General features: G+C 37.8%; 1 protein-coding gene across 1 annotated transcript in view; it reads left to right on the top strand.

Annotated features, from left to right (window-relative positions):
* Positions 1-1704: 1704 nt before the first annotated feature.
* Positions 1705-10866, top strand: part of SULT1B1 (sulfotransferase family 1B member 1) — a 39454-nt gene continuing 30292 nt past the window's right edge. The window contains exons 1-3 of the mRNA NM_014465.4: positions 1705-1866; positions 7064-7255; positions 7527-7655. Of these exons, the coding sequence (NP_055280.2) occupies positions 7108-7255; positions 7527-7655 (277 nt within the window). The 5' untranslated portion in view covers positions 1705-1866; positions 7064-7107. The remainder of the gene's footprint in view (positions 1867-7063; positions 7256-7526; positions 7656-10866) is intronic.

Raw genomic sequence — 10866 nt, 5'->3', positions numbered from 1 at the left:
GACCCCCCCCACCTCCCTCCTGGATGGGGCGGCTGGCCGGGCAGAGGGGCTCCTCACTTCCCAGTAGGGGCGGCCGGGCAGAGGCGCCCCTCACCTCCCGGACGGGGCGGCTGGCCAGGCGGGGGGCTGACCCCCCCACCTCCCTCCCGGACGGGGTGGCTGCCGGGCGGAGGGGCTCCTCACTTCTCAGACGGGGCGGCTGCTGGGCGGAGGGGCTCCTCACTTCTCAGACAGGGCGGTTGCCAGGCAGAGGGTCTCCTCACTTCTCAGACGGGGCGGCCGGGCAGAGACGCTCCTCACATCCCGGACAGGGCGACAGGGCAGAGGCGCTCCCCACATCTCAGACGATGGGCAGCCGGGCAGAGACGCTCCTCACTTCCTAGATGAGATGGTGGCCGGGAAGAGGCGCTCCTCACTTCCTAGATGGGATGGCGGCTGGGCAGAGATGCTCCTCACTTTCCAGACTGGGCAGCCAGGCAGAGGGGCTCCTCACATCCCAGACGATGGGCGGCCAGGCAGAGACGCTTCTCACTTCCCAGACGGGGTGGCGGCCGGGCAGAGGCTGCAATCTCGGCACTTTGGGAGGCCAAGGCAGGCTGCTGGGAGGTGGATGTTGTAGCGAGCCGAGATCACGCCACTGCACTCCAGCCTGGGCACCATTGAGCACTGAGTGAAGGAGACTCCGTCTGCAATCCCGGCACCTCGGGAGGCCGAGGCTGGCGGATCACTCGCGGTTAGGAGCTGGAGACCAGCCCGGCCAACACAGCGAAACCCCGTCTCCACCCAAAAAATACGAAAACCAGTCAGGCGTGGCGGCGCGCCTGCAATCGCAGGCACTCGGTAGGCTGAGGCAGGAGAATCAGGCAGGGAGGTTGCAGTGAGCCGAGATGGCAGCAGTACAGTCCAGCTTCGGCTCGGCATCAGAGGGAGACCGTGGAAAGAGGAGAGGGAGAGGGAGAGGGAGAGGGAGAGGGAGAGCGGCAGCATCTTTTAAGAAGAAAATATGCTTTACATTTCTTTAATACATTTATAAGTTAAACTGATGGTCTAAAGGAATGTGCTAGTTTCCCTCTGGTCTTCCTGACTTTCCCAGGCCTTCATAGGTATAACTCAGGGGCAAGAGCTTGGTGGTTGTAGTTGTGTGTAAGTTTGAGACGAGTGCTCTTAAAAAATGGATTGATTTCCACTCATTTCTTGTTTATGTGATTCTGCATACCAAAAGAAGAAAAAACCAAGAGTTGTGGAAATGATTAGAGTATTTGTGTTTCTGATGCCAAAGTAATTAATCATTTCATCTTTAATATGTTTGACATTTAATGATATTAGAAACTCACGTTTATTCCAGATGGAAACATACTGACACATGCACAAACACACACAAAACCAATTTTTATTTCTGTTATGACCAAAATTGTTAGAAGACATTCTTATAAGATATAGAGAAGCAACAATTTTGATCCACTAACCCTTCATGTTCTTTCCCTCTGCATTTCTCAGACACTTTGAAGCTTGCAGAGAGCTTAAAATCTAAACAGCCTGTGCTTGTGCTGACTTATGGCCACCACCCTGAACCACTTCCTGGCTTCCTGGCTTTGCTAGCTGTTGAAACAGTGGAACTTGCCTCATGTGTGTGTATGTGTGTGTGTGTGATTGTGGGTGTGGGTAGTTTAACCTTTTTATATCTTAGCTGCCTGTAAACTCAGTGATTGCTACGTTCAGATCAAACCTTGAACTTTTTTTTTTCTGGTGCCAGGAGCCTTCCTGTGCTCCCCATTGCCTGCCAGAACCACCACCGTTTCCCATGGTTACTCTACAGCAGCTTCACTGCCTGAAAATGAAAACTGAACAAAGGGATTAAATTGTGAGGTAAAATTTGCTTTTCAATTTCTTTCCTTGAAGTTTTGTCCTATCCCCGCAGAATATTGTGTGCCTCAGAACAATTTCTGTTTTGAACATATTTTATAATTAGAAAGTCTTTTGCATAATTCCAATTTTCTTATAGGAAACTTTCATTGTTTATGCTGTCTAAAATCTCTCAAGCTTTCAATGTTCAATTTTATTTTTCTACATTTAGTGGAACTGAAGCATGCAAGGAATGGAGGTCTTCTCAAGAAACTGTAAGCCACTTAAAGAAAAAGAAATCTTTTTCAAGTTTTCGTTTCTCTGCTCCCATCCTTCATCCAGTCCTACTCACATGCATTCATGCACACATATGCACATACACACACCTTTAAGGTGCACTCCAGAATATAAAATATGTCGTTTACCACATTTATTTAAGTAGCTTGATTTGATGTGTATCAGATAGAGCTAAACTTTGTCAGAGTATGACAAATGAAAGAAATTGTTTTTTCTAATTGATGGAAAAATATAGTTTTAATGTAAAATGACTCAGTTTCTTCTAAAACAGGCATTGTTTTTTATTTTTCTCTTTTGTTCCATTAATATTCCTTAAAGTCAATTTTAGACATTTTAATTTTCAGCCTATGGCTCATCTTAAATAGGAAGTCTTGAGATCCCATGTATAATTTACAACTACTTTAAATAGCCTGTTCCTTTCCAATAGGGTTTAAAATATTTTATGAACTAATTTTTAGATTTTAAAGTAAATGTCATTCATAAATCATCTTTCAGCATATCTAGTTTAATTATATTAATTATTTGACATCTTCCAGTCCTCCTCTCCATACTCTTCTCCCCATATAATTCAGAACTCATCATTTATCCACTGGTCATGACGAGGTAATGCTGTTTGATGCCTAATACCCTGTAGCTTCCTGAATTGGACACACCCACTTCCCAGAGGTGACTAGCATATATTCACAAACAGCTGCCTTATTTTCATCTTCCTACTCATTCCATCCTTCTCCGGCAACAATTTTACAGCATGAAGTGCCTGACCTTTTTGTCACGGGGGATTTTCATTGTCAAAGCAAAAATCCCTTCCAATTTGTAAATACTCTTGTTTGAATGAGATAAATCACGGACATTTTTGACTCTGGGTTGGGCCTACGGTAAATTTTCAGTATGATCACATGAACAGAGCTGGGCAAACTAAAGTCCATTCCTGGGTTGCCACTCCCTTTCTGTGTTTCTTTGAGCAGACGCTCTGAAGATCTGTTTCCTAATCTTATCCACAAAATGCAAGTAAGACTTATCATTTCAGGGTAGGTAATGATTAGAGATCATATACATGAAGCACAATCAGTACAATTTGTTTTAAAAGACCCTGAATTCATTTTGATTAAATCATTTACTTACACCCTGTATCATTAGATAATTAAAGGTAGTTTAAAGTCATTTGCTCAAGTTTTAAGTGCAAACAAATTAGTTGAGGATCTTACTAAAATGTAGATTCTGATTCTGGGTTGAAACCTGAGATTCCACATTTCCAACAAGCTCTCCGTTAAGGCCAATAACACATGGGGCTTGTACATGGACTGTAATTTGAATAGAAACTGTAAATCAATTTTATGCATATAAAAGAATAGTACAAATTAAATTAAGATGAATAAATAAAGAAAAGGCAAAGGATGAACCAAGACATGAAATGGAACCAGAAATGATGCTATAAATATATAATATAAGCTACTTGCTACATGGGGAATCAATTTGTCTATATAATTTTAGCAGACAGTATGAAAAGGGTATCAGCTCCCTCAATATTCATTCACTTTTGCATAATATGTGTGCATTATAGGAGTTGGTAAGTAAAGTTATACTGCTACTAAACATTACATTCTGGAGCCGATGAATAGAGACTCATTTATTTTTCTCAATTAATTCAGAATAGACAATTTTTGAAATGAGGTGTGCCATTGATATTTCCCTTTAGATAATTTGGGAAGAAACAACTTGCTAAGAAGTTAATAAAATAAAATGTTTCAGAAAGAGCTATTTCATTCATCATGTGGAAATCAAGTCTAACATCTGAATGTACTATGTTGACTTCTGTGGACTCTGATTCCTTTATATCCAAACTGAGAAGGGGCACTATTCTCAAGATATCAAAAGATTCTGGGTGAGAAGTGGAAATCTCATCATTCATTCATTTCTTCATTCAATTTATTCAATACCAACTTCATCCCAAGTACACTGCTTACAGACTTACTTTCTTTTCTTTCAACTTCCTCCTTCTGCTGACTTCTTGACCATCCACATTAATTGTTCCTTTCTTGAGCTGCTAACATGTTCCACAGTATTTCATGCTGGAGAATCTTTTCTACAAGACTATCTCCACTAACAAAGTATTGCAAAGACTACCTGACATTTTACTGGAAATGGAGGATAACTGAGAAGCATATAGAAGATAAATATTGAATATAATTTTCCTAAAATGCTCCATTCACTCAGCTGTCATTGGCATCCTTGCCCCAGGGTCTCACATGCTCTAAACTTGATTGTGTCTAATCTATTTTGAGACTGCTTCTCCATTAATATCCTCTATTTCAGGTTTTTGAGGCCTGCAACTCCATTACTCAATAAACAGTATGAAAATGCAAAATTCAACTTATTTTATTAATTTTCACTCTATTTGTAGCATAAGATGCTACATGTTTCAGGACAAACGTATTGTTGAATAATGACTTTTACTGGAAAAACAAAATGACACAGCATTTTTCTGTAAAACCCATGAATGATAACATATAAAAATATGTTACGTAATACACATCTTACAATATAAAATGAAAAAATATTTGCCCAAATTTCTCCCTCCTAGATTTTGTGTGTGTGTGTGTAGATGGGGGTAGTGATGGTGGAGGAGTTGGCTTTGAGATACAAGGCTGTTATACTAACATGTTTTTCCTAGTCAAAAGCATACCTCTTTCTATACAAATTAACATTAGGTAAACTAGTTTAAGCTCCAGCTAGCTGTTAAATTATTGATTTTTGTTTGTGGGTCCACAAATTACTTACAAAATATTTACCAGAAACTATTATACTTAATCAATTAAGAACCTCTGATTGGCAATCTTTAAAGTTATTTTACTAGAAGCAATGCGATTTCATCTAAGATATTATGCAATTTATGCTGCAATTAGTTCAAATTCTATCTATACAATAGTAAACATGTTATATGTTATTAAATTAACAGATCTTAAGAAATAAATGGAACATCGATTATGAAGGAATCTATAAATTGTAAAATAAATAAAGTTGATGTAAAATGAAAAAACATTATTAAAAGCAAGGCTATGGTTTTACTTACAAAGTTCAGTGGAAATAGTGGAAAAAATAAATAATAAGTAGCTCTTTGTGATGCCAATTTTATGTGTCCAATTGATGGGGCCACAGGAAACCCAGATGTCTGATGAAAAATTACTTTGTGTGTGTGTGTGTGTGTCTGTGTGTGTGTGTGTGTGTCTGTGAGGGTGTTTTCAGATGAGATTAAAATTTAAATTGGCAGATTGAGTACAGCAGATTGCCTTCCCTAATGTGAATGGGACTCACGCAATCAGTTGAAGGCCTGAATAGAACCAAAAGGGTGACTCTCCTGGAAGTAAAGAGGAATTCTTCCTGTCTGACTGCCTTTGAACACATACATATATGACATTATTTTAGAGGCAGGTATGCAGGCATATTCCAGGATATGTAGGGTGACCTGGAAAACTGGAGACCCAGTAGAGCTGATGGTTTAGCTCTAGTCAAAAGGCTGGCAGGCTGGAGATCCAGGAAGAGCAATGCTTCAGTTTGAGTCTGCAGGCAGGAATAAAGAAACAAACAAAAAACAACGATGTTTTGATTAAAGCTCAAAGGCAATTAGGTAGAAGGAATACTCCTAGGAGCATCACCCTTTTTGTTCTACTCAGACTTCAACTAATTGGCTGAAGATCACCCACTTAGGCAGGACAATCACTCAGTCTACCAATTTAAATATTAATCTAGTCCTAAAACACCAATACAGAAACACTCTGAGTAGTGTTTGGCCAAATGTCTGGGGACTCCTTGGCACAGTCAGGTTGACACAAAAAATTATCAATGACAGCTTCTAATCAAGAAGAAGTTAACAGGAACACCAAGCATCCAATAAAAAATTATCAGACATGTAAACAAGGAGAAAAAGCCTACCATAATGAGAAAAAAATCAATCAATTGAAAACAACATAGAATTACCCAGATGTTAAACAAAGAAAAAAATCATTATAACCGTACTTAGTATGCTTAAAAAGTTGAGAACAAAAAAATAAACATATTGAAATTGAACAGCCAGAGATTAAAACTACAAAGCCAGAGATAAAAATACACTGGATAGGAGTAAAGACAGATTAAACATTGCAGAAGAAAAGGTTAGTAATTACAAAGACATAGCAATAGAGAATATCCCAAATGAAACACACACAGAGAAAAGCTTTTTAAAAAACTAAATAGATAATCTCTCAGCTGTGGGCAACTTCATATGGCCTAATATACATGTAATTATAGTCTCAGAAGGAGAGAGAGATGGAAAAAATATTTGAAGAAATAATGGCTGAAAATTATCCAAATTTGATGGAAACCGTAAACTCACAATTTCAAGAAGCTCAATAAAGCTAAAATGTATACGCGCGTGCACACACACACACATGAAAATAACCACACCTAGGAACATTATAATCTACTTGCTCAAAATAAGTGATAAAGAAAGAAACCTTAGAAGCACACAAAGAAAAAGGATGAATTACAAACTGAAAATCAAAGGTCAGAATGACAGCAAATTTTCTGTAAGGAAAAATGACGTGTAGCTGAAGTCTTAATAATGAGCAGTGGATTTATTTTGCCTTAAGTCAGATTGTTCAGATTGTTTTTGCCATATTTCTGTGAAACACGCTTTTTAATTCAAAGAGAGATATGCAGTTTCATTTCTTTCCAAAACTTCCACTAGAGACCTTTGTCCTGCTTGTCACAGAGCCAGTTACTGCTCTTGCAATCTACTGCACCTAATGCCCACAAAATATGCCCTTTGTACTTAGATCTCCATGTGCGCAGAATGTTAAAGGCCAATTTTACTTTGTGACAAATTGCAGTGTCTTAAGACCAACATTAGTTACTCAGATTCTGATTTTTATTCTCTATATTTCTCCAGAACAACTGTCAATCTATTATATATTTGTACAATCTGGTATTAAAATGCTTTCCCCAAAAGATATTCTGCGAAAAGATCTGAAGTTGGTCCATGGTTATCCCATGACCTGTGCTTTTGCAAGCAACTGGGAAAAAATTGAACAGTTCCATAGCAGACCAGATGACATTGTGATAGCCACTTATCCTAAATCAGGTGAGTTCTGTGGCCTGACAAATTCAAGTCCGACCTCATTTTTTGTTTCCTGGAAATCAACTTGTCCATAAAATCATTACCATTCTAAATAAAGTTAATATTCATTTTGTGCAGCCATCTATTTTAGTATATTAAAATTGGCATTTGGTGCATAGAAAGGGGAATTAAGTTTGTAATAGAATGTGTTAAGATGGTAGTGTTTCCAATAAATTCTTCTCCCTCTCCCGTGCAATTTGGGTAATTATTTTGAAAATGTTGCCTTTTGTCACAGGTACTACTTGGGTTAGTGAAATTATAGACATGATTCTAAATGATGGAGATATTGAAAAATGTAAGCGAGGTTTTATTACTGAAAAAGTTCCAATGTTGGAAATGACTCTCCCTGGATTAAGAACATCAGGTAAATTTAACCCACTTGGAATTATTATTTTGTAATATTATTTAGACAGCATATGCATTATTGTATGTGTGACTTTCACTGAAACCGGAGTAGATTTGGTGACATAAAATGGAAGGTGGCAAACAATATAAAACTGAAGAATAAGAAGAAACTTTATTTTTATCTGTTGTACATCCAGGTATGATATCAAAGATGAAAGAGTCTTACTGTACAAAACAATTAAAAATTTGATTGATAAAATAAACAATATTTTTAAGACTTTTATTTGGTAGAATTTGTCTGATTAGATTAGTAAGTTCCTAATTTAGGACTTTGTTGTAATTAATAAATAAGAAGCAACTTTTCTTAAAACATAAAATTCACTAATACTATTAATTTTTCTTCCACAAAATATTTATGGAATGCTTGTAAAGAATTATTCACTGTGCTATGGTATAGATATATAAGATTAGAAATTGTATATTGTATCACAGGGAGCTTACAGCAATATTGTGACGTCAAAAAGTAAATAACAATATGTCAATGTTCATAGTCTTACATAGTCAAATAATAGGGTTCTGTGGAAGCGAACAATAGGAAAGCTTACTTTAAGTGGGTAATAAAGGAAAAAAACTTAGACAAATTAAATGAGTTTAATTGAGCAAAGGACAATTCACAAATCAGGCAGCCTCTTGAGCCAAAATAGCCTCAGAGATTCCAGAATAGCTACATGGTTTATGGAAGGAAGGAATGTGACATACAGAGAACAGACTTGAGATATAGAAACAGCTGGTTTAGTTAAAGTTTAGTGTCTGACTTATTTGAACACAGTCTGAAGAGCTGGCCACCTTTGATTGGCCAAAACTTGGTGATTCGCACAAGGGTAGAATGTAATATGTTTACACATCCAGTTAGGTTACAATTCACTATGTATAGAGAAACCTTTAAGCCAAACTTAAAATGTGTAAGATGACAGCTTTAGTCTAAACTTAATTTAACAAGGGGTATCTACTCCAAATTGAGATTAAAAAGTTGTACATACTTGGGGAAAGAATATCCCAGGATACAGTCCTGGAAAGCATATTCCAGGAAGATCTTGATATAGTCCGGAGACTAAAATGATCCATGAAAGAAGGAAAAAGTGGGATGCAAAACAATTGGAAATTAGGCTAGGATAGACCATGTAGGACTTGTAATTCTTAAAACATTTTCTCATTTTATTCCAAGAACATTGAGGAAGATATTGAAGGGTTTTATGCAAAGAAAAATTATATAGAGTTTTTGTTTTTTGTTGTTGTTTTAAATACAAAGACTCCACAGGTTGCTTGGTAGAGGTGGAATTGAGGATGCTAGATAAGACATATTTGTGACTTGTTGATGGACTGTAAAAGAAATATGAAGAAAATGAAAGAAAAATGACAGTTTTATTTTTCATCAAGCAAGTGGACTATGGAACCATTCGCTTGCAAGGAAAAGTACTTGGAGAGGAACACATTTGGGTGTAGGGTTATTAATAATTCAATTGTGAAATGTTAGCTTTGTGACATTGGAGAAAATTATAATGAATTAAAATGATGGTATTTGGAGCTTGTAAAAATATATTCATTAGGCAATGCTCAGCATAATTGGACATTGGAATCAATGTGACTGCCCAAGGAAAGCCTGTGGAGCTATATGAGAAGAGAAGCAATGAGCTGTGAAAAACATCAACATGCAGAAGTTAGGTGAGAAAGAGAAGCTAGCAAAGGAAACTGAAAAAAAATGAGCTAACAGGGAATGCAAGAGTATGGTGTTCTGTAAGTAAATGAGAGGGGTATTCAAGAAGTGAAGCTTGACTTTCAAATGCTGCTGGAATCCTGGGAAACAAATAAGTAGTAGGATAGTGATAGACCTGTATGCCAATGTGAAGAGAAATATCCAAATCCTCTTCTATAATGGAGGTGCCCCTCAGCAGGCTGACTGAACTAGTTACTTCCGTAGGCAGAGACGGATCAACTGGCAAGATGTCAGTCCTTCTATGTCATTGCCAGAATTCAGACAGCAAATGCCAATTTTTGTTTTGTTTTGTTTAAAAAATATATTCAATTTTTCAAAGTTACAAATATAAAATCCCAGTTGTTTCCTAAGCCATTAAGTTCAGCTTATAAATATTATTATTTTACTTATATAACAAAAGGAGTTTAATATTCAATCCAAGTTTTATTTAATTAAGCTCCTTTAAACACTTAAGTGGCATTTATATATTAATATATTTCATTTCCTTGAGTACTTAATTTATCTGACCAAGACAAACCTTCCCAAGTACTTATAGTCCAATAAATTAAGCTCATAAATACAGCAAATCTTAGCCATTTTAAATGTTCCAAAACTACATAGAAACTTAGCAATGATTCCACCACTGTACTCCAGCCTGGGCGAAAGAGCAAGACTCTGTCTCTAAACAAATTTAAAAAAGAAAATTAGACACTTAGCAAGATTTCAACTTAAAATTCAAGTATAAATACTCAACATTTTTTACTTAGCATTACAAAGCAAATCTGTTACTCTCACAAAGTTGTTAATCTTACATTTGTCAAGGACTTAAAATGCAAACTGCAAAGTTTCTTAAAACAAATGGTTATGATAAGATGTTCTTAAACATGACTATGTTATGTCTTGATGTTCTTAAACATGCCTATCCTTGGAAAGCTTGGAACTGAGGGATTATGCTGGGGCAAGGAACCAAAATGAGTTCAAGAGGGAGGCAAGACTTCAGAACCATAGAAAGTATGAAATGAAAAAGTGACAGAACCAAAGTAATCAGAGACATGGGAGTCAGGGATAACAGATGGAAGGCAGGATTGGGGATAGAGAGGGAGGATATGCAGCATTGCCTGACAGTGAATGGCTGAAGTTCATCAGGTAGATGAGGGTAAACTGCAGCATTTAAATCTACTCTAGGCCGGGCGCGGTGGCTCACGCCTGTAATCCCAGCACTTTGGGAGGTCGAGGCGGGTGGATCACGAGGTCAGGAGATCGAGACAGTCCTGGCTAACACGGTGAAACCCCGTCTCTACTAAAATATACAAAAAATTAGCCGGGCGTGGTGGCGGGCGCCGGTAGTCTCAACTACTCGGGAGGCTGAGGCAGGAGAATGGCGTGAACCCGGGAGGCAGAGCTTGCAGTGAACTGAGATCGCGCCACTGCACTCCAGCCTGGGCGACAGAGTGAGACTCCGTCTCAAATAAACAAA

The sequence above is a fragment of the Homo sapiens genome, chromosome 4 (assembly GCF_000001405.40).
Source record: "Homo sapiens chromosome 4, GRCh38.p14 Primary Assembly".
In the NCBI taxonomy this organism is placed as follows: domain Eukaryota; kingdom Metazoa; phylum Chordata; class Mammalia; order Primates; family Hominidae; genus Homo; species Homo sapiens.
Note: the sequence above shows the minus strand (reverse complement) of the source record. Positions and strands in the feature narration are given on the sequence as shown.